The following is a 24002-nucleotide window of genomic DNA, read 5'->3' as shown; positions in this document are numbered from 1 at the left end:
TCACAATAGCCAAGATTTGGAATCAATCTGAGTGTTCACCAACAGATGAATGGATAAATATGTGTTATAGATCACAATGAAATATGATTCAGCCTTAAAAAGAGTAAAATCCTGTTATTTGGGGTCACATGGATGAGCGTAGAGAACATTAGGTTAAGTGAAATAAGCCAGGCACAGGAAGATAAATACCACAAGTTCTCACTTATATGTGAAAGCTAAAAATGTTGATCTCGTGGAAGTAGAATAATGAGGCGGGTGGATCACCCGAGGTCGGGAGTTCGAGACCGGCCTGACCAACATGGAGAAACCACATCTCTACTAAAAATACAAAAAAAAAAAAAAAAAAAAAAAAGCCAGGCATGCTGGCTCATGCCTGTAGTCCCAGCTGCTTGGGAGGCTGAACCCAGGAGGCAGAGATTACAGTGAGCAGAGATCACACCATTGCACTCCAGCCTAGGCAACAAAAGTGAAACTCTGTCTCAAAAAACAAAAAACAAAAAACAAAAACAAGAAAAGAAAAGAAAGTAGAATAACGGTTACTAGAGGCTGAGAAGGATGGGAGAGGATAGAGAGTGGTTGGTTAACAGATACAAAATTACAGATCAGGTGCGGTGGCTCATACCTGTAATCCCAGCATGTTAGGAAGCAGAGGCAGGCAGTTCACCTTGGCTCAAGAGTTTGAGACCAGCCTGGCCAACACAGTGAAACCCAGTCTGTACTAAAAATACAAAAATTAGCTGAGCATGGTGGTACATGCCTGTAGTCCCAGCTACTCAGGAGGCTGAGGCAGAAGAATCACTTCAACCTGGGAGGCAGAGGTTGCAGTGAGCTGAGATGGCAACACTGCACTCCAGCCTGGGTGACAGAGCTAGACTCTGTCTCAAAAAAAAAAAAAAAAAATTACAGCTAACAAAGGAGAAATAATTTGAATGTCCTATAGCACCATAGGGTGACTATAATTGACAATAATTTATGGTATATTTTCAAATAGAGCAGATTTTGAGTGTTTTTGAGTACAAAGAAATGATAAATATTTGAAGTGATCAATGTGTCAATTTTAGTGATTTGATCATTACACACTGTTTACCTGTATTAAAATATCACACTGTGCCCCGTAAATACGTACAATGATTATGTGTCAATAAAATAAAAAAAAACCCCTTCGCCAATATAACTGCATTTTCTTCCCCTTTTTGTGCTATTGTCATACAAATTATACCTTCTGAGATTATCAATACAGTTTTTATCATTATTTCTTTTTTCACTGTAGTTGTCTTTTTTAGAGACAGGGTCGTCTTGCTGTGTTACCCAGGCTGGAGTGTAGTGGCTATACACAGATGCAACCACAACACACCACAGCCTCAAACTCTTGGGCTCACATAATCCTCCTCCTGCCTCAGCCTTCTGAGTAGCTGGGTCTACAAGCACGTGCCACCACGCCTAGCTTACGCAGTTGTCTTACAAGAAAGAAATGAGTTACAAAAAAAATACATTTATACTTTTTTAAAAATTTTTTTTTTGAGACAGGATCTCGCTCTGTCACCCAGGCTGGAATGCAATGGCACGGTCTCGGCTCACTGCAAGCTCCGCCTCCTGGGTTCACGCCATTCTCCCGCCTCAGCCTCCTGAGTAGCTGGGACTATAGGCACCCGCCACCACGCCCGGCTAATTTTTTGTATTCTTAGTAGAGACAGGGTTTCACCGTGTTAGCCAAGATGGTCTCGATCTCTTGACCTCAAGATCCACCCGCCTCAGCCTCCCAAAGTGCTGGGATTACAGGCGTGAGCCACCACACCTGGCCTCGTTTATACTATTTCTTACATTCACCTAACTGGTTGCCTTTATTGATGGCTCTATTTTTTCATGTGGATTTGAGTTACTGCCTAGTGTCCTTATATTTCAGTCTGAGACTCCCTTTAGTATTTTTTAAATTTTCTTTTTTTTTTTGAGATGGAGTCTCACTCTGTCACCCAGGCTAGAGTGCAGTGGCACGATCTTGGCTCACTGCAACCTCTGCGTCCCAGGTTCAAACAATTCTCCTGCCTCAACCTCCCCGAGTAGCTGGGACTACAGGTGTGTGGCACCATGCCAGGCTAACTTTTGTATTTTTAGTAGAGACGGGGTTTCACCATATTAGCCAGGATGGTCTCAAACTCCTGACCTCATGATCCACCTGCCTTGGTCTCCCAGTGTTGGAATTATAAGCATGAGCCACTGCAACTGGCCCCTTTAGTATTTCTCAGAGGACAGGCATCCAAGTGATGAATTCTATCAGCTTTTCTTTATCTGGGAATGTCTTGATTTCACCTTCATTTTTGAAGGATAATTTCACTGGTATAGAGTTCTTGGTTGACAGTCTTTTTCCTTCAGCACTTGTAATATTCATTCCATTGCTTCTGGTCTCCATAGTTTCTGATAAGAAGTCAGCTATTGATCTTATAAAGGTGTCCTTGTATATTATTTTTTCTCTTACTGCTTTCAAGTTGTTTCTGTCTGTAGCCTTCCACAGTTTTTTGTTTTATTTTTTTAAGATGGAGCCTCACCCTGTCACCCAGGCTGGAGTGCAGTGGCACGATTTTGGCTCACTGCAACCTCCGCCTCCCAGGTTCAAGCAATTCTCCCTGCCTTAGCCTCTCGAGTAGCTGGGATTACAGGCACCTACCACCATTCCATAAGGAGGGAACCTGGGAGGTGGAGGTTACAGTGAGCCAAGATTGCGCCCACTGCACTCCAGCCTGGCAACAGAGAGACACTTTGTCTCAAAGAAAAAAAAAAAAATTAGCCCAGCTAATTTTTGTGTATTGAGTAGAGATGGGGTTTTGCCATGATGGCTAGGAGATCTCCAACTCCTGACCTCAGGTGATCCTCCAGCCTTGGCCTGCCAAAGTGCTGGGATTATAGGTGTGAGCCGCACCTGGCTGCTTTCCACAGTTTGACTGTGATATAGTTACGTGTGGATCTCTGAGTTTATCCTAGTTAGAGTACATTGATCTTCTTGGCTCTGTAGATTAATGTTTTTCATCAAATTTATGGAGTTTTGTCCACTATTTCTTCAAATACTTTTTGTGCCCCTTTCTCTCTCCCCACTCCTTATGGAATTCCAATTACGCGTATGTTGCTATGCTTGATGGTACAACACAAGTCTCATAAGCCTTTCTCCCCTCTTTCTGCTCCTCATACTGGTTAATCTCAATTTACCTATCCTCGAGTTTGATGATTCTTTCTTCTGCCAGTTCACATCTGCTGCTGAGCCCCTCTAGTGAAGTTCTAACTCAAAACTTCTATTTAGTGTTTTTTGCTGTTACTGGATTTCTGTTTTTGATTTTTTGAGACAGGGTCTCACTCTGTCACCCAGTCTACAGTGCAGTGACATGATCATAGCTCACTGTAGCTTCAGTCTCTGGGCTCAAGTGCTTCCTGAGTAGTTGGGACTACAGGAATGTGCCACCATGCCCAACTAATTTTTAAAACTTTTGTAGAGATGGGGGTATATGTTGCTCAGGCTTGTCCCAAAGTCCTGAGCTTAAGCAATCCTCCCACCTCAGCCTCCCAAAGTGTTGGGATTATAGGTGTGAGCAACTGCACCCAGCCTCTAATAGAGATACCTGATTTTGGTATCTATTGATATTCTCTATTTGGTGGAACATTGTTCTTCTGCTTTCACTCTTTAGACAACATTTCCTTTAGTTATTTGAACATATTTATAACAGCTTCAAGTCTTCGTCTAATAAGCCCAACCCTGGAACTCCTCAGGGCCAGTTTGTATTGACTACTTTTTATATATTTTGTATATGAGCCACACATTTCTGTTTCTTTGCATGTATCGCTTTTTCTGCATAAAAATGGAGATTTTAGGGCCAGGTGTGGTGGCTCACGCCTGTAATCCCAGCACTTTGGGAGACCGAGGAGGGTGGATCACAAGGTCAGGAGTTCGAGGCCAGCCAGGCCAAGATGGTGAAACCCCCGTCTCTACTAAAAATACAAAAATTAGCCAGGGACGGTGGCGAGTGCCTATAATCCCAGCTACACCGGTGGCTGAGGCAGGAGAAATGCTTAAACCAGGGAGACAGAGGTTGCAGTGAGCTGAGAACGTGCCACTGCACTCTAGCCTGGGTGACAGAGCAAGACTGTGTCTCAGAAAAACAAACAAAAAACAAACAAACAAAAACTGGAGATTTTAAATACTGTATTATGGTAACTCTGGTAATCAGATTTCCTTCCCCGTTTTCAGATTTTCTTGCTCTTGGTTCTCGTCTCTGCTCAGTTTAGTGTTCAGCTAGCGACTGTACAGATTTCCTTAAATGCTTTAAGCGAATAAGTCTTCCAGTTTTTGCCAAGGGTCCCCTGTGTGTTGGGGTCCATCTTCAACACCCCAGCAGTCGACAAGCCTGCGCTTAGCTTTCACTTCCTGCCAGTTCAGAATCTAAGGACAACAGATGTGAGACATTGGAGGTGTCTGTGGTATTTCACAGGCATCTGCATGGCCTTATATATTGTATGTCCTTCTAGATCACTGGAACATGTTAGACCTTTTCAAAACCCTGTATAGACCTCTCATGCTCGAAATTATCATTTTATGCTTTCTGGCCAGCCTCTTGTGTGTCTTAGCTGGTACTGCCACCCCAGGGAGCTGCAATGTTATTCAATTGCTACTGATTGTTTTTGAAAAATGTCCTGGGAATAGGGTATTAACCTTCTAGGGGAGTTGTTACTGAAAGTGGATAAAAGTCCTCTGAGGCCGGGCGCGGTGGCTCACACCTATAATCACAGCACTTTGGGAGGCCAAGGAGGGTGGATCACGAGGTCAAGAGATCGAGACCATCCTGGCCAACATGGTGAAACCCTGTTTCCACTAAAAATACAAAAATTAGCTGGGTAGGCCAGGCGCGGTGGCTCACACCTGTAATTCCAGCACTTTGGGAGGCCGAGGCGGGTGGATCACGAGGTCAGGAGATCGAGACCATCCTGGCTAACATGGTGAAACCCCGTCTGTACTAAAAATGCAAAAAACAAATTAGCCTGGGCGAGGTGGCGGGTGCCTGTAGTCCCAGCTGCTTGGGAGACTGAGGCAGGAGAATGGCGTGAACCCCGGGGGGCGGAGCCTGCAGTGAGCCAAGATCGCACCACTGCACTCCAGCCTGGGCAACAGAGCGAGACTCCGTCTCAAAAAAAAAAAAAAATTAGCTGGGCATGGTGGCACGTGCCTGTAGTCCCAGCTACTGGAGAGGCTGAGGCAAAAGAATCACTTGAACCCAGGAGGCGGAGCTTGCAGTGAGCCAAGATCACTCCACTGCACTCCAGCCTGGTAACAGAGCAAGACTTTACCTCAAAGGAAAAAATTTAAAAAGTCATCTGAGTGGGGCTTTTCTAGACAGTTGCCTTATAGGTGAAGTACTGACAATTCTCTGAAGATAGGGCTTTTTGGCGAGTTTCAAACCCATTTTCTCTCAAAATGGTTAATTTTTTTTTTTTTTTTTTTGAGACAGTCTCGCATTGTCGCCCAGGCTGGAGTGCAGTGGCACGATCTCTGCTCACTGCAAGCTCTGCCTCCCGGGTTCACGCCATTCTCCTGCCTCAGCCTCCCGAGTAGCTGGGACTACAGCCTCCCAAGTAGCTGGGACTATGCCCAGCAAATTTTTTGTATTTTTAGTAGAGATGGGGTTTCACCGTGTTAGCCAGGATGGTCTCAATCTCCTGACCTCGTGATCCGCCCACCTTGGCCTCCCAAAGTGCTGGGATTACAGGTGTGAGCCACCACGCCCGGCCTAAAGTACTGGTTTTTACAGCTACTGTGGGTAAAGGCTGTTGGGTTTTTTTCTTTTTTTTTGAGATGGAAGGGTCTCACCCCTATTGCTCAGATTGGAGTACAGTGGCATGATCATGGCTCACTGCAGCCTCGACTTCCCGGGTTCAGGCGATCCTTCCACTTCAGCCTCCCAAGTACCTGAGACTACAGGCTTGTGCCACCACGCCTAGCTAATTTTTGTATTTTTTGTAGATATGGGGTCTCGCCATCTTGCCCAGGCTGGTCTTAAACTCCTGGGCTCAAGCAATTTACCCACCTTAGCCTCCCAAAGTGCTGGGATTACAAGTGTGCACCTGGCCAAACCTATTGGATTTTAAAGCTATCAGAGTTGGGAAGAAGGAAATGGGAAGTCCACATGCTACAAAGCTCACTGGTCTCGTGAAAAGAAATTAAATCTTGGGACCCCAGGCTGGGCATGGTGGTTCACGCCTGTAATCCCATCACTTTGGGAGGCTGAGACGGGCAGATAACCTGAGGTCAGGAGTTCGTGACCAGCCTGGCCAACATGGTGAAACCCCATCTCTGCTAAAAATACAAAAATTAGCTAGGTGTGGTGGTGGGCACCTGTAATCCCAGATACTCAGGAGGCTGAGGCAGGAGAACTGCTTGAACCTAGGAGGCAGAGGTTGCAATGAGCCAAGATCGTGCCACTGCACTCCAGCCTGGGGGACAGAGCGAGACTCCATCTCGAAAAAAAAAAAAAAAAAAATCTTGGGACCTCAAACTCGTTAAGCCAAAGGGAAAAGTCAAGCTGGGAACTGGGTTGTGCAAACCTGCCTCCCCATTTTTGGGTTTCTAAATAAGATGGCTACAAGATGAAAAGCTACAAGCCTCCCTCACATTTTGCTCACAAGGAAATTCCTAGTGAGCTGCAAGATCTTTAAGGTGTTTCTGTGAAAATTTCACCAGGGCAATGTAAACTGATAGCTTACCTTTTACAGGTGCAGTCAACCCCCTGCCCACCAGACACAAATGCATATCTGATTGCTCCCCTGCCCCATTTTGTCTATGTTATCTTATGTAAAAAAAAAAAAAAAAAAAAAGTACAGGCCAGGCACGGTGGCTCATGCCTGTAATCCCAGCACTTTGGGAGGCTGAGGCGGGTGGATCACCTGAGGTCAGGAGTTCGAGACCAACCCCAGGCAACATGGTTAAACCCCGTCTCTACTAAAAATACATATATTAGCCAGGCGTGGTGGTGGGCACCTGTAATGACAGCTATTTGTGAGGCTGAGGCAGGAGAATCGCTTGAACCCGGGAGGCGGACGTTGCAGTGAGCTGAGATTGTGCCACTGCACTCCAGCCTGGGCAACAGAATGAGACCCTCTTTGGGGGCGGGGAGAAACAGATTCACTGAACCAGACAACAGGCATGAATGACTATTTTTCCTACCTCCTTCTTACATGAAAATTGTGTACTTCTCAATATCTCGCCCTTTCCCCTTTAATGGTGGGGTCTCAAAATTACTTTTGGAGAAAGACATAGACCTGTCTCCCAGGTGTGCATCGTTAACTTTGGTGAATAAACCTCCTAAAATAATTGACGCTTGTCTCATCATTTTTCTCGATTGACAATCTTAGAGATATTCAGGTATTTTTCTTAAATTCCCCGAATTGTTATAAGCCTTTGGTTAATTTCTAAAGTTATGGAGAAGTTGGTTTTGACCATTTTTGCCAGGATTTGTGTGACTTTTATGGAGGAGGAGATTTTCAGTTATTTTGGAGTTTTTTTTTGTTTGGAGATGGAGTCTCCCTCTGTTGCCCAGGCTGCAGTGCAGTGGTGCGATCTTAGCTCACTTCAGCCTCCGCCTCCCAGGTTCAAGCAATTCTCCTGCCTCAGCCTCCCAAGGAGCTGGGACTACAGGCGTGCACCACCAAGCCTGGCTAATTTTTGTATTTTTAGTAGAGATGGGGTTTCACCGCATTGGCCAGACTGGTCTCAAACTCCTGACCTCATGATCTGCCTGCCTCAGCCTCCCAAAGTGCTGGGATTACAGGCGTGAGCCACTGCGCCTGGCCGATTATCAGAGGTGTTTATTCTGCTGTTCTGGAAGTGATCCTGCCTCCCAGCTTACCTTTGATTCAGCAAATGAAAAAACTGTAAATGCAATACTGTGTTTTTGCAAAAATATTGGCAAAAAATTTGTAAGTTTCTAACCAGCCTGGTAGAGGTGAGAGGTTTTCTTGCATGCAGTTGGTGGAAGGTAATTTGTCAAGCTTTCTGGAAGGAAATTTGGTACTTGTCCCTACAAATTGGAATCCTGAATTTCCTGTTTGATGGATCCCCTTGGGGCAGAGACTCCACGGAGTTAGAGAAGGAGCATTTTCCTCCCAGGCCTGAGGGCAGAAGGAGGGCGTTTGCGGAACAAAAATTAAGATTCAGGCCGGCGTGGTAGCTCACGCCTGTAATCTCAGCACTTTGGGAGGCCAAGGCAGGTGGATCACAAGTTCAGGAGCTCGAAACCATCCCAGCCACCATGGTGAAACCTTGTCTCCACTAAAAATACAAAAATTAGCTGGGCGTGGTGGTGGGTGCCTATAATCTCAGCTACTCAGGAGGCTGAGGCAGAAGAATCGCTTGAACCCGGGAGGCGGAGGTTGCAGTGAGCCGAGTTTGCGCCACTGCACTCCAACCTGGTGACGAAGCAAGACTCTGTCTCAGGAAAAAAAAAAAAAAAAAAAAAAAAATTAAAGCTCAGTGCTCCTGGGAAAAGCAACTACAATTTGTCGTCAGAGGGCAGTGTTTTGCCCTGTTCTTCTGGAGAGAGGCGGGACTTCCTCCAGGTGTGTTCAGGAGTCCCCACAAATGGCTTCAGGAAATTAGAGGCCTGGAAGGCTCCCCCTGTCTTCACAAGCCCAGGCTCTACACTCTGGAGCCAAACACAGCAGCCCAAGAGGGCGGGAATCCCATTCCCATGGGCGGTGCTATTTCTTCCTTCCTTTTTTTTTTTTTTTTTTTTTTTTTTCGGAGACAGAGTTTCACTCTTGTTGCCCAGGCTGTAGTGCAATGGCGCAATCTCGGCTCACTGCAACCTCCGCTTCCTGGGTTCAAGTGATTCTCCTGCCTCAGCCTCCTGAGTAGCTGGGATTACAGGCATAAGCCACCATGCCCGGCTAATTTTTGTAGTATTAGTAGAGACGGGGTTTTACCATATTGGCCAGGCCTGTCTCAAACTCCTGACCTCGTGATCCACTCACCTAGGCCTCCCAAAGTGCTGGGATTACAGGCGTGAGCCACCGCGCCTGGCCAAAGTGCTATTTCTGTTCCCATTCTGTGGACAAATAAATGAGATCTTAATGGGGTATTTGGGGTACGAGCTGGAGGGGTTGCTCTCAGCCAGTGTCTTTGCCTGCAATATTGTCCCCCATTTCATGCACACCCCAATACTGAAACTTACCCCATTGCTCTTGCAGTAGACTGAACATGTTCCCCCCAACATTTATATGTTGAAACCTACCCTCTAAGGTAATGGTATTATGAGACATGGGCCTTTGGGAGGTGATTGGGTGTTACCCTCACGAATGGCATAGTGCCCTTATATTAATAAAAGGGATGGCCGGGTGCGGTGGCTCACACCTGTAATGCCTGCACTTAAGGAGGCTGAGGCTGGAGGATCATGAGGTCAGAAGTTCAAGACCAGCCTGCCCAACATGGTGAAACCCCGTCTCTACTAAAAATACAAAAAATTAGCTGGGCATGGTGGCAGATGCCTGTAATCCCAGCTACTTGGGAGGCTGAGGCAGGAGAATGGCTTGAACCGGGGAGGTGGAGGCTGCAGTGAGCCGAGATCATGCCACTGCACTCCAGCCTGGGTGACAAGAGTGAAACTCCATCTCCATCAATCAATCGATCAATCAATGGGACCCCAGAGAGCTCCCTCTTTTTCCACCACATGAAGACACAACTAGAAGTCTGTGATCTGGAACCCAGAAGAGGACCCTCACCAGAAGCTGACCATGTACCCTGATCTCAGATCTTCAGTCTCCAGAGTTGTGAGAAATAGATATCTATTGTTGATAAGGCAGCCAGTCTATGGGACTTTGTTATGGCAGCCGAGACTGTCAAAGACAGCTCTAGAGGGGCTATGTGTCCAGGAGGGGATGAATCAGTCTTTTACTTCTTCTTTTTAAGACAGGGTCTCGCTCGGTCACCCAGGCTGGAATGCAGTAGTGTGATCTCAGCTCACTGCAACCTCTGCTTCCTGGGCTCAAGCGATCCTCCCACCTCAGCCTCCCAAATAGCTAGGACTACAGGCACGTACCACCATGCCCAGCTAGTTTTTGTAATTTTTGGTAGAGACGGGGTTTCGCCATGTTGCCCAGGCTGGCCTTGAACCTCTGAGCTCAAGTCATCTGCCCACCTCGGCCTCCCAAAGTGCTGGGATTACAGGCATGAGCTGCCGCGCCCACCCTCTCCTTTACTTCTCAGCTGTGAATGTTCTCCCATATCCTCGGACTCCCAGCCTGCTCCCAGGCTTCACAGTCCTATCTGATGAAGTAGGGGAGCACCAGCCACCCCCTTATCTCTCTAGCTCAGTCTATCCCCTCCAGGGGCTCTGGACTTCTCTCCAGGGCAGCCTGACCTAGGGGCGACACAGGAGTTTCCTTGACACTGGTACTATCTCTGAACATCTCTGCCTCCATCTCTGTTTTGAGGCTGGTCCATGGAGTCAATGAAGGGGTCCCCTCCTCTCCCCCAAAACCCTCATCTTAGCTCCTGCTTTTCCCAGGCCCTAAGATCCTGGGGGCAGGTCTTGTAGAGGGGGAGCCCTTGTGGGGGGCTTCAGGTACCCGCACTCTTTAGGAACAGGCACAGGTCTTGATGTTGCAGGCACAGGTCTGGATATTGATGGGAAATTGCGGTCAGAGTGGACAGCACCACCCATTCCCGGCATCTCCCATGATTTGGTCTTCAAGCCTTCACCTCATTCTCTGCCCACCTGGATCTTGTCAGCCCCAGAGAGAACCTGAGTCCAGAGGAGAAGCAGAACCCAGGCCACTGGGCAGTGGCAACCGCACAGACACCGACATCCCTGGGAGAGCCTGAGCCCACCGCCCAGAGCTCAGAGCCTGGAATAAGCAGCCCAGCGAAGAGCCCCGCTCCACCGCCCAGAGGAGCACCAGAGTGAGCTCGGCCTGGAACCCAGAGACCATCTTCAAAATCTCATCCCCAACCTCTCATAAATGCCACCTTGTCCCTGGCCCCCCTGTAATTACTTCAGCCCCTTGTTCCCTTCACAGCAGTAATTTTTTTTTTCTTTTTGAGACAGAGTCTGCCTCTGTTGCCCAGGCTGGAGTGCAGTGGTGCAATCTCGGCTCACTGCAACCTCCGCCTCCCGGGTTCAAGCAATTCTCCTTCCTCTGCCTCCCAAGTTGCTGGGATTATAGGCCAGCACGCCAGGCTAAATTTTTTTTTCTTTTTTTGAGACGGAGTCTCACTCTGTCGCCCAGGCTGCAGTGCAGTGGCGCAATCTCGGCTCACTGCAAGCTCTGCCTCCCGGGTTCAAGCGATTCTCCTGCCTCAACCTCCGGAGTAGCTGGGACTACAGGTGCCCGCCACACGCCCGGCTAATTTTTGTATTTTTAGTAGAGACAGGGTTTCACCGTGTTAGCCAGGATGGTCTCGATCTCCTGACCTCGTGATCTGCCCGCCTGGGCCGCCCAAAGTGCTGGGATTACAGGCGTGAGCCACCGCGCCCGGCCGATTATTTTAATAAGATGATTGAACATCTTCCTTATTAGATTGTAACCCACAAGGGCATTTATGTTGCCTGCGATGTCCCCCGGTCCTAGGGCAGCCCACCTGCTGATGCAGTTCTGAGTGCTGCCACCAGGGGGCAGGGCTGCCTCGCACTTGTCATGGGGACAGCGGCAGGACCCTCAAGAGGGCTTTAACTTGGTTGGGTTCGTATCTGCACCGGGCCATATCTGCACCTGGGAATACTCCACTCCCTCCCTGAGGTGTGAGTGGGGATGCTCCCAGCTCCAGGAGACACAGCTGTGGTGTCGCTGGCCAGGGTGCAGCTTTCTAGAGAGGTTCCATTTTCACACCTCCAAGTTCAGACCTTTTCTTTCCCTCTGCAGACTGGGGCGAGCGACCACCCAGCCCAGTGTAGAGGGGGTCTCATGTCTTACCACTCTTCATTTACACTTTTTTTTTTTTTTTTAAAGACGTCGGGTTAGCTCACCCCTGTCATCCTAGCACTTTGGGAGCCCCAGGCAGTCAGATCACGAAGTCAGGAGATGGAGACCATCTTGGCCAACATGGTGAAACTCCATCTCTACTAAAAATACAAAAATTAGCCGGGCATGGTGGCGGGCGCCTGTAGTCCCAGCTACTCAGGATGCTGAGGCAGGAGAATTGCTTGAACCCGGGAGGCGGAGGTTGCAGTGAGCTGAGGTCATGCCATTGCATTCCAGCCTGGTAACAGAGCAAGACTCTGTCTCAAAAAAAAAAAAAAAAAAAAAAAAAAAGGGACATAGGGTCTGGCTCTGTTTCCCAGGCTGGAGTGCAGTAGTGCAATCACAGCTCACTGCAGCTTCCAGCTCCTGGGCTCAAGCAATCCTCCCACCCCCGCCTCCCAAGTAGCTGGAACTACAGGTGTGCACCACCACATCTGGCTAATTTTTCTATTTTTATTTTTTGTAGAGATGCGGGTCTCACTATGTTGCCCAGGCTGGTCTCGAACTCCTGGCCTCAAGAGAGTCTCCTGCTTTGGCTTCCCAAAGTGCTGGGGTTACAGGCATGAGCCACTGTGCCCAGCCTTCACTCTGACTTTGAACAGGCCTCCTGTTCGCAGCCCACTGCACATCTCCACCCTCTGGCGCATATGCTTCCGCCAATCCCAGAGCCTTTTCCTCTTTGACTCCCCTCCCGAGGAGTGTTTGCCTCTGAAGAACTTAGGCTTCAGGGTTTTTTTTTGAGACAGGTTTGCTCTGTTGCCCAGGCTGGAGTGCAGTTGTGCGATCTCTGCGCACTGCAACCTACACCTCCTGAGTTTAAGCGATTCTCCTGCCTCAGCCTCCTAAGTAGCTAGGATTACAGGCCCCTGCCACCACACCCAGCTAATTTGTGTATTTTTAGTAGAGATGGGGTTTCACCATCTTGGCCAGGCTGGTCTTGAACTCCTGACCTCGTGATCCACCTGCCTCAACCTCCCAAAGTGCTGGGATTATAGGCGTGAGCCACTGCACCCAGCCTGGGCTTCAGCTTTGCTCTACCAGGGGTTGCCATTAGTAATGTTTCTCCTAACACTGTGTGGACGTCTCTTTTCTACCTTTAACTGTATTCATGTTCCCTTTATCTTGGTGGGGTTAAGCCAAAAAAGGGGGATGGGGGCTGGATGCAGTGACTCATGCCTGTAATCCCAGCCAAGGCAGGAGGATCACTTGAGCCTGGGAGATCTAGACCAGCCTGAGCAATATAGCAAGACCCCGTCTCTACAAAATAAAATTAAGAAATTAGCTTGGTGTGGAGTGCGTGCCTGTACTCCCCACTACTCAGGAGGCTGAGGCAGGAGGATCACTTCAGCCCAGGAGTTCAAGCCCAGTCTGGGCGACAGAGCGAGACTCTGTCTCAAAAAAAAAGTCCTCATTGTGGATTGAGTGAGTTGCAGTGGGGATTGTTTGTGCCAAATCAGTTTCTTACAAGCTCCTCAGTAGGTTTCAAGGGAAGCTTCGATGTCACGTCCTTCAGATTGTGGGGGACAGTTGCTGCTTTGGCATGGTGGTTATCATGAGGCAGTGGGATGGAGAGAAACAAAGGCGATGCAGCTGGTCCATATCCCCAGCAAGTACAAGCACGCATAACGGAAGCATTGCAAGCACACATAACCATGCCAGACACATTGCAAGCGCACATAACAGATGCATTGCAAGCGCTGATAACCATGCCAGAGGCACTGTAATCACACATAACCGTGCCGGACACATTGCAAGCGCAGATAACCATGCCGGATGCAGGCAAGCACACATAACCTTGCCGTATTCATTGCGAGCACAGATAATCGTGCGGAGCCATTGCAAGCGCTCATAACCCTGCCGGACGCATTGCAAGCGCAAATAACCACGCCAGATGCAGCCAAGCGCACATAATCACGCCGGACCCATCGCAAGCGCAGGTACCCATGCCAGACGCATTGCGAGTGCAGATAACCACGCTGGACGAAGGCAAGCGCACATAACGGACGCATTGCGAGATTGCAGGCACACATCACCATGCCAGACTCCTTGCAATCCACGTAAGCATGCTAGTTTGGGGGTTGATACCAGCCCCTCTTCCTTTCCTAACTTTGTAATCCCCCAAGCCATAAACACCAGTGTCAGATGCATAGCAATCAAAATCCGTTTTATTATGAACGACACTGAATTGGAGGAAGTAGAGGGACCGGGGCGGAGGCCGGGGGAGACTGACCGCGTGGGTTTCCCAGCACTTTGCACCTGCCAGTCACAGGTGAAGTTAGAAAACCACAAAGGTCTTCTGTTTGGAAAAGCAGAAGGAACTGTGGACCAGGCTGTCCCAGAGAGACCAGCTAGGGAGGGGACAAGGTGTGCTTGGCTCACTCAGCACTTTTGCAGCACTCACCAGCATGGCAAATCCAGGTGAGAAGAAGGTTATGGGACTGGAGACACCCCCCTGCTTCCTGGAAGGCGTGAAAATACCACTCTCCCCCACCCCCGCAAGAGGAGACAGGAGCCCAATACCTGAGGCATTTCTAAATCCCGGTTTCTTTCGCCCAGGCTGGCTGGAGTGCAGTTGTGCAATCTCGGCTCACTGCAACCTCCACCTCAAGCCATTCTCCTGCCTCAGTGTCTCGAGTAGATGGGATTACAGGCACCCACCACCATGCCCGGCTAATTTTCTTTTTTCTTTTTCTTCTTTTTTAAAAACGTATTTTAAGTAGAGACGGGGTTTTGCCATGTTGGCCAGGCTGGTCTTGAACTCCTGGCCTCAAGTGATCTACCTGCCTCGGCCTCCCAAAGTTCTGGGATTACAGGCATGAGCCACTGCACCTGACCCAAATCCCAATTTATTTCTCAATGGCAAAACCTGGAAACCCAGTTTTTGGAAATAATTGAATCCCTGGCACTTCCTTCTCAGATGACTGGGCAGGATGCACCCCAGACACATGGTAAATGGAAACTGGGGTACAGCAAATAGTGACTTTTTTTTTTTAAGCAAAGAGGCCCAGCATGGTGGCTCATTCCTATAATCCCAGCACTTTGGGAGGCCAAGGTGGGAGGATCGCTTGAGCCCAGGAGTTTGAGACCAGCCTGAGCAATAGAGTAAGACCTTGTCTGTACAAAAAATAAACTAGCCAGCATGGTGGCATGTGCCTGTAGTCCTAGCTACGTGGGAGGTTGAGGCAGAAGGATCACTTCAGCCCAGGAGGTGGAGGCTGCAGTGAGCTATGATTGTGCCACTGCACTCCAGCCTAGGAAACACAGCGAGACTCCATCTCAAAATAATAATAATAATAATAATAATAATAATAATAATAATAAAAAAACACGTTACCAGAGAAATATCAACAGCCTAAAAGTCATCAACTGTGTGCTCCAGTGGACTCAGGCTGTGGCGAGGGATGTCTTTTCTGAAGAGTGGAAGGGAGCTGAAGAGCTCTGTACCTTTCAGGTGAACCCAGAGAGAGTCCCAGCAGAAATACCCATGGGGAGAGGGAACCTGCCATTCTGGGGGTCTGAAGGGTGAAGAGGTCCCCTCATTCATTCAAGGCAAGAGCCAGGTCCTCAAAAGGCCATTTTCTAAAGTCTTAAAAAAAAAAAAAAAAAAAGAGAGTCTCACTCTGTCACCCAGGCTAGAGTGCAGAGATGCAATCACAGCTCTCTGCAGCCCCGACCTCCTGTGTTCAAACAATTCTTCCTCCTCACTTCCCAAGCAACTGGGGCTACAGGCATACACCAACATGCCCGGCTAATTTGGAAATTTTTTGTAGCGACAGAGGCGGGGGGTCTTGCTATGTTGCTCAGGGTGGTCTTGAACTCCTGGCCTCACGAGTTCTTCCCACCTTGCCCTCCCAAACTGCTGGAATTACAGTCATGTGCCACCGCGCTGGGCCGTGGTGGGGGGATTTTAAGTTACAGATTCGATTTCTTATGTCAGTTTCAGTAATTTTCTAGAAAGTTGTTGGTTTTATCCAAATATTTAAATTCATTGGCATGGCCAGGCATGGTGACTCACGCCTGAAATCCCAGCACTTTGGGAGGCTGAGGTGGGTAGACCACTTGAGGTCAGGAGTTCGAGACCAGCCTGGCCAACAAGGTGAAATCCCCTCTCTACTAAAAATACAAAAATTAGCCAGGCATGGTGGCACATGCCTGTAGTCCCAGCTACTCGGGAGGCTGAGGTGGGAGGATCGGTTGAACCCGGGAGGTAGAGGTTTCAGTGAGCTGAGATCATGCCACTGCACTCCAGCCTGGGCGACAGAGCTAGACTCTATCTCAAAAAAAAAAAAAAAAAAAGCAAATTAAAAAATAAAAAATAAATTGACATAGAATGTTGATAACATCTTATAGGCTCTGCCATGATGTCTCAGTTTCCCCCTTTCTAATGGGCCGGAGGAGAGGACAGAGGCTGGCATTCCAGGCAGTGGAACAGTGTGAGCCAAGCTCTAGCACAGATGCTGGAACAGCAGCTGGCCCTGCTCGTCTGGGGTTTAGGCAAACGCCGGGGATGCAGAGGAGGGTCCCAGTGCCTGATGGGCATTCACCTTCTGGTAGAAGTAGCTGCCATGTGATTGGGTGGTTTTATCAGCCTGGGGTCACAGAGGCAACCAAAGTGCCACCTAAGCCACACTGTTGCTTGAAGCCAAGGGACAGGGCAGCTGTCACATCTCCTGCAGCCTCTCCTTGCACCATTCAGGGTCCCCCCCTTGCTGCTGATGTCTACACTATGCACATTCACCCAGGCCCAGTGCGGGCTGCTCCACCACCAGCCATACCCACCCCACCTGAGCTCAGCTGATTATCCCAGCCCTGCCTACCCATCACTCCCAGCCCTGCCATCTGCACAGTTCTGTCCTCTCTGAGCCCTCCACCTCAGCCCTCCACATTTTTTTTCTTTTTTTTGAGACGGAGTCTTGCTCTGTCACCCAGGCTGCAGTGCAGTGGCGCTATCTCGTCTCACTGCAAGCTCCGCCTCCCTGGTTCACACCATTCTCCGGCCTTAGCCTCCCGAGTAGCTGGGACTACAGGAGCCCGCCACCATGCCCGGCTAATTTTTTGTATTTTTAGTAGAGACAGGGTTTCAATGTGTCAGCCAGGATCGTCTCGACCTCGTGATCCACCTGCCTTGGCCTCCCAAAGTGCTGGGATTACAGGCGTGAGCCACCGCGCCCGGCCCACATTTTTTTTTTTTTTAAAGAGATAGAGTCTTGCTCTGTTACCCAGGCTGGAGTGCAGTAGCATGATCATAGCTCACTCTAGTCTCAAACTCCTGGGCTCAAGCAATCCTCCTGCCTCAGCCTCCTGAGTAGCTGGGATTATAGGCACAGGTCACCATGCCTAGCTAATTCTTAAATTTTTATGTAGAGATGGGGTCTTGCTTCGTTGCCCAGGCTGGAGTACAATGGCATAATCATAGCTCACTGCAGCCTCCAACTCCTGGGCTTGAGCTATCCTCCCACCTCAGTCTCCTGAGTAGCTGGGACTACAGGCCCCGGCCACCACACCCAGCTTAGTATTATTTTTTATAAAGATGGGGTCTTGCTATGTTGCCCAGGCTGGTCTCAAAATGCCTGGACTTAAGCAATCATCCCACCTCAGCCTCCCAAAGTTCTGGGATTACAGGTGTGACTACCATACTTACCCTTTTCTTTTCTATTTTGACACTGAGTCTCGCTCTATCACCCAGGCTGGAGTGCAGTGGTGTGATCTCGGCTCACTGCAACCTCTGCCTCCCAAGTTCAAGCAATTCTTCTGTCTCAGCCTCCTAGTAGCTGGGATTACAGGCACCCATCACTATGCCCAGCTAATTTTTGTATTTTTGGTACAGACGGGTTTCACCATGTTGGCCAGGCTGGTCTCGAACTCTTGACCTCAAATGATCCACCTGCCTTGGCCTCCCAAAGTGCTGGGATTACAGGCGTGAGCCACCACGCCCAGCCTAACCCCTTTTCTAGATCCTCCCACATCTCCCTTGCTCGGCCACTGAGCCTGCTGAAGGCCAATGTCACCCCAGGCCCGCTCCTCTGGCTTGGCTCAAGTGAAGACCTACCAGAAAATGAGCCTGTGGCAGTGTAGAAATGCCCAGCTATGCCCCCGGCTATGCCCAGGACACAGCAGGCGGAGAAGGTGTCATCACTTTAGCCACAAAGCTTTAAGCAAGAGTGGTTTTAGTCTGGGCACTGTGGCTCACACCTGTAATCCCAGCACTTTGGAAGGCCAAGGCAGGCAAATCACTTGAAGTCAGGAGTTCAAGACCAGCCTGGCCAACATGGTGAGACTCTGTCTCTACTAAAAATAGAAAAATTAGCTGGGCGTGGTGGCTCACACCTGTAATCCCAGCTACTCGGGAGGCTAAGTCAGGAGAGTCACTTGAACCTGGGAGACGGAGGTTGCAGTAAGCTGAGATTATGCCACTGCACTCCAGCCTGGGTGACAGAGTGAGACCCTGTTGAAAGGAAGAAAGGAAAGAAAGAAAGAAAACAAAGAAAAAGGAAAGAAAGGAAATGAGGAAAGGAAAAAAAGAAAGAAAGAAAGGAAAGAAAGGAAGAAAGGAAAGAGAGAAAGGAAAGAAAGAAAGGAAGGAAAGAAAAGAAAAGAAAGAAAAGGTTGTAGACTGGGTGTGCCTGTAATCCCAACATTTTGGGAAGCCGAGGCAGGTGAATCGCTTGAACCCAGGAGTTCCAGGCCAGCCTGGGCAACGTGACAAAACCCTGACTCTATTGAAAAGAATTGTAAAGAAATAGTGGTTCTTTACCTCCCAACAGAGATCAAAGTACTCCTGTGAGTAGTCAATTTATTTTTATTTATTTATTTTTTTTGAGACAATCTTGCTCTGTCAGCCAGGATGGAGTGCTGTGGCGTGATCTTGGCTCACTGCAACCTCCATCTCCTGGGTTCAAGTAATTCTCCTGCCTCAGCCTCCCGAGTAGCTGGGATGACGCGTCTGCCACCACACCTGGCTAATTTTTGTGTTTTTAGTAGAGATGCGTTTTCACCATGTTGGCCAGGCTGGTCTCGAACTCCTGACTTCAGGTGGTCCCCACGCCTTGGCCTCCCAGAGTGTTGGGATTACAGGCATGAGCCACCACACCTAGCCCCATTTATTTTCAATCACTGCCAACTCACCCATCTATCCATGAGTGTAAATTTCACTTTTCAGCCTTTGAACAACAGGACCCTAGCATTTTACGCTGTCCCACACGATCACCACTGGAGGCAATAGGAAAGTGGAAGCAGGGGCTGGAGTGTCTGGGAACAGCCTCTCTGCACAGCGTGTGACAGACACAGCCACCTGCGTGCTTGTCCTCGATGGGAGAAAAAGGCTTCGAGAACTGAACGTCTGCCAAGCTCAGTGTTGTGTGACACAGCAGGAAACACAGCCCGTTTCTGCCGTCAGGAGCTTGTAAGAGGGTTTATGGAAAAGAAAAGCAATCATTTTCGTGCACACACACACTTGTATGCAGAAGACTGCCCAGCCCATCCTGGGTTTGTGGCTACAATAGTCAAATGCCGTTTCTGGAAACTATTGGTCAGGACATTTCAGTTAAAATGGAAAACAGGGCTGGGTGTGGTGGCTCAGACCTGCAATCCCAGCATTTTGGGAGGCCAAGGTGGGCAGATCACTTGAGGCCAGGAGTTTGAGCCAGTCTGGGCAACATACGAGACCCCCGCCTCAAAAAAAAAAAAAGAAAGAAAGAAAAAGAAAAGAAATTTTTTTTAAAAGAGAGAGAAAGAGAAAGATAAGAGAAAGAAAAAGAAAGAGAAAGAAACAGAAATAAAAAGAAGAGAAAGAAAAAGAAAAAAGAGAAAGTAAAAGAAAAAAGAGAGGCCGGGCACGGTGGCTCACTCCTGTAATCCCAGCACTTTGGGAGGACAAGGCAGGCGGATCACGAGGTCAGGAGATCGAGACCATCCTGACTAACACGGTGAAACCCCGTCTCTACTAAAAATGCAAAAAATTAGCCGGGCGTGGTGGCGGGCACCTGTGGTCCTAGCTGCTCGGGAGGCTGAGGCAGGAGAATGGCGTGAACCCGGGAAGCAGAGCTTGCAGTGAGCAGAGATCGCGCCACCACACTCCAGCCTGGGCAAGAGAGCAAGATTCCATCTCAAAAAAAAAAAAAAAGAAGAGAGAGAAAGAGAAAGGGAGGGAGAGAAAGAGAGAAAGGGAGAAAGAGAGAGAAAGAAAAAATGGGAAAGGAAGAAAAGGAAGGAGGAAGGGAGGAAGGAAGAAAAGGAAGGAAGAAGGGAGGGAGGGAGGGAAGGAAGGGAAGGAAAGGTAGAGAAAGAAAGGAGTCTGGGTGTGGGGGCTCACGCCTGTAATCCCAGCACTTTGGGAGGCCAAGGTGGGCGGATCACCTGAGGTCGGGAGTTCGAGACCAGCCTGACCAACATGGAGAAACCCCGTCTCTACTAAAAATACAAAATTAGCTGGGTGTAGTTGCATATGCCTGTAATCCCAGCTACTCAGGAGGCTGAGGCAGGAAAATCACTTGAACCCGGGAGGTGGAGGTTGCAGTGAGCTGAGATTGCGCCATTGCACTCAGTCTGGGCAACAAGAGCAAAACTCCGTCTCAAAAAAGAAAAAGAAGAGAAAGAAAAGGAAAGGAAACTCCTGTGAAGGGAACTGATTTTCATGACGCAGGTGTTGGCCCGAAGGTTTCAGCGTGGTCAGCAGCTGTGGGTGTGTTGGGTTTGGGGATTGGCGGGATGACGAACAGGTGGGCTGCACTGTTCACAATCAACCACTTGGGAGGGGAGGCTTTACCTGGGCCAAAGATGATGGGATACAACTGGGTCTCAAGTAACTTATATCAGGCCTAAAAACGGAATGCCAATTAGCAACCAAACAAAGCAAATAGACAACACCAGGAGATGCCAGACCTCAAGGCAGGTCCCCTAAATTGCATCCCTCCTTGGGCACTGACCGTGCCATGGCAGAGTGGCCAGGCAGGAGGCCAGGGCAGACCTTCAGGGTGAGGCATGCCACACAGAGGGAGCAAAGGCTACGCCACTCTCAGTGTGGCTCTGGGGGTGCAGGGGCAGCGGCAGTGACAACCTCCCAGGCGTGATTATGGGCAGGGACAATGGGGGGGGGCACCTCCACCCACTCGCCATTCTCCATGGTGCAGAGGGAACCTGGCCCAGGTTCTCACGGAGACTGAGGGGACCGGGAGGAACAGACAAGGATCTGAAAAGGCTGCAGGGTTCCTTCCGGGCGGGGCTCTGAGCACAGAGAGCTGGCTTTGCTGGTTTACCGAGGTCTGATGGATATAGTAAACTGCATCCATTTAACTGTGTGGTTTCAATGAGTTTTGACATAGATATGTACACCTGTGACACCGTCGCCACAAAGAAGATGGGCCAATAGCCCCCTGTATTAGTCTGTTTTCATGTTGCTATAAAGAAATACCCAAGACTGGGTAATTTATAAAGGAAAGAGGCTTCATTGACTCACGGTTCACATGGCTGGGAGGTCTCAGGAAATTTACAATCATAGCAGAAGGCGGAGCGAACCCCTTCTTCACCAGAGCGGGCGGGAGGAACTGGCACTTATAAAACCATCAGATCTCGTGAGAACTCGCTATCATAAGAACGGCACGGAGGAAGCCACTCTGATGATTCAATCACCTCCCACCAGGTCCCTCCCCTGACACCTGGGGATTACGAGTCAGATTACAATTCGAGATGAGATTTGGGTGTGGACACAGCCGAAGCATATCACCCCCAGAAGCTTCCCTCTGTCCCTGTCACCCCATCCTCTCCCACCCTCATCCCCAGGCAATCTCGGATCTGCGGTCAGTGTAGACTCGAGTTTTTTTTGAGACAGGGTCTCACTCTATTGCCCAGGCTGGAGCGCAGAGGCGCAATCACGGCTCACTGCAGCTTCAACCTCCTGGGCTCAAGCGATCCTCCCACCTCAGCCCCCTGAATAGGGACTACAGGAGCACACTATCACACCCCGTTAATTAATTAATTATTATTATTTTTGAGACAGAGTCTCGCTCTGTTGCCCAGTCTGGATCTTGGCTCACTGCAACCTCCCCCTCCCAGGTTCAAGTGATTCTCCTGCCTCAGCCTCCCGAGTAGCTGGGATTACAGGTGCACACCACAATGCCTGGCTAATTTTTTTGTATTTTTAGAAGAGACAGGGTTTCACCATGTTGGTCAGGTTGGTCTTGAACCCCTGACCTCAATCCACCCACCTTAGCCTCCCAAAGTGCTGGGAGTACAGGTGTGAGCCATTGTGCCTGGCCTGAGATTTTGCCCTTTCTAGGATTTCATCAAGGATAGAATTATATGCAGTATTTGGCAGGGCGCAGTGGCTTACACCTGTAGTCCCAGCACTTTGGGAGGCCGAGGCAGGCAGATCATGAGGTCGGGAGATCGAGACCATCCTGGCTAACACGGTGAAACCCCGTCTCTACTAAAAATACAAAAAAAATTAGCCGGGCGCGGTGGCAGGCACCTGTAGTGCCAGCTACTCGGGGGGCTGAGGCAGGAGAATGGTGTGAACCCGGGAGGCGGAGATCACAGTGAGCCGAGATCGCGCGACTGCAGTCCAGCCTGGGGCGACAGAGCGAGATTCTGTCTCAAAAAAAAAAAGAATTATATGCAGTACTTTTTAGTGGCTTTTATTTTTTTTCAGAATATGTTTCTGAGACCCATTCATGTTGCATGTATCAGTAATTCTTTCCTTTTTATTGCTGATGAACATTCCCTCATGAGGCTATATCATGGTGTTTATCCATTCTACCTGTTGCTATTTGGGTTGTTTCTAAAATTCGGCAATTATAAATCAAGCTGCCATGAGCATTTGTGTACAAGTGTTTGTGAGGCGTGTGCTTTCATGTCTCTTGGGTAAGTGTCCAGGCCATGGAATGACTGGGTCATAGGCAGGTGTGGGTTTAACATTTTAAGAAACCACCTGCTGGGCGCGGTGGCACATGCTTGTAATCCCAGCACTTTGAGAGGCCGAGGTGGGTGGATCACCTGAGGTCAGGAGCTTGAGACCAGCCTAACCAATATGATGAAACCGCTGTTTCTACTAAAAATACAAAAATTAGCTGGGCATGGTGGCACACGCCTGTAATCCCAGCTACTCAGGAGGCTGAGGCAGGAGAATCACTTGAACCTGGGAGGCAGAGGTTGCGGTGAGCCGAGATTGTGCCATTGCTCTCCAGCCTGGGCAACAAGAGCAAAACTCTGTCTCAAACAAAAGAAAAAAAAAAAACCACCAGGGCTGGTATTTTTGAAGTCACTGAGACAGAAAGTAACAAGGGCGGCTCCAGCGTGTGCTGTTACTGAGGCTGGGGCCAGGAGGCTCAGTGTGGTAAGCAGTGCTCCGTGGGGGAGCAGGACTAGACACGCTTGCTGTGCCCAACTCAGCATGCTCCTCTGAGATCTCAGGTGGCCTTGAGTAAGAGCCGAGTGCCCCACCATTGGAGAGGTTAGGAACCAGCAAATGGGACACCCACAGGCTGCAGCATCTAGAGGTGACAGAGTCAGGGGCGGAGTGTTCAGACAGGGCTACAAGTGACAGTTAAGGACAGAGCACAGAGTGGCTGCAGATGACAGGTCAGGGACCAGGTGCACAGATGGAGCTGCAGGTGACAGGTCAGGGACCGGAAGCACAGGCAGGGCTACAGGTGACAGTCAGGGACGGAGTGCACAGACAGGGCTTCAGGTGACAGGTACTGAGTGTACAAACCCACTGCAGGTGATGGACTGGGTGCACAGCTGGGGCTGCAGGTGATAGGGACCCAGTGGACAAATAGGACTGCAGGTGACATTGAGGGATCGAGTACACATATGGGGCTTCAGGTGACATGGGCAGACTGAGTGCAGAGAAGGGTCTGGGGACGTCAGCATCAGGGACTGGAGGACACAGCTGCTTCATCAGAAGACAGAGACAGTGCCTGAACACGGGGCCCAGAGAACTCAACCAGTGCAGGTGCCTCCTGGAGACAGGGCCAGGCTTGGAGCTGGGAGGAACCCAGAACAGCCTGGCCTACCAG

At 49.4% G+C, this 24002-nt stretch overlaps 1 annotated feature.

Moving 5' to 3' along the window:
- Positions 2312–2512: a silencer, noted in NCBI's record as "peak6353 fragment used in MPRA reporter construct". NCBI's record gives its function as "represses an SCP1 promoter by STARR-seq MPRAs in K562 erythroleukemia cells {active_cell/tissue: K562}" and the evidence as "EXISTENCE:reporter gene assay evidence [ECO:0000049][PMID:32103011]".

This window comes from Homo sapiens, chromosome 7 (genome assembly GCF_000001405.40).
Source record: "Homo sapiens chromosome 7, GRCh38.p14 Primary Assembly".
Taxonomy (NCBI): Eukaryota; Metazoa; Chordata; class Mammalia; order Primates; family Hominidae; genus Homo; species Homo sapiens.
This window is presented reverse-complemented; position numbering and strand designations above follow the sequence as displayed.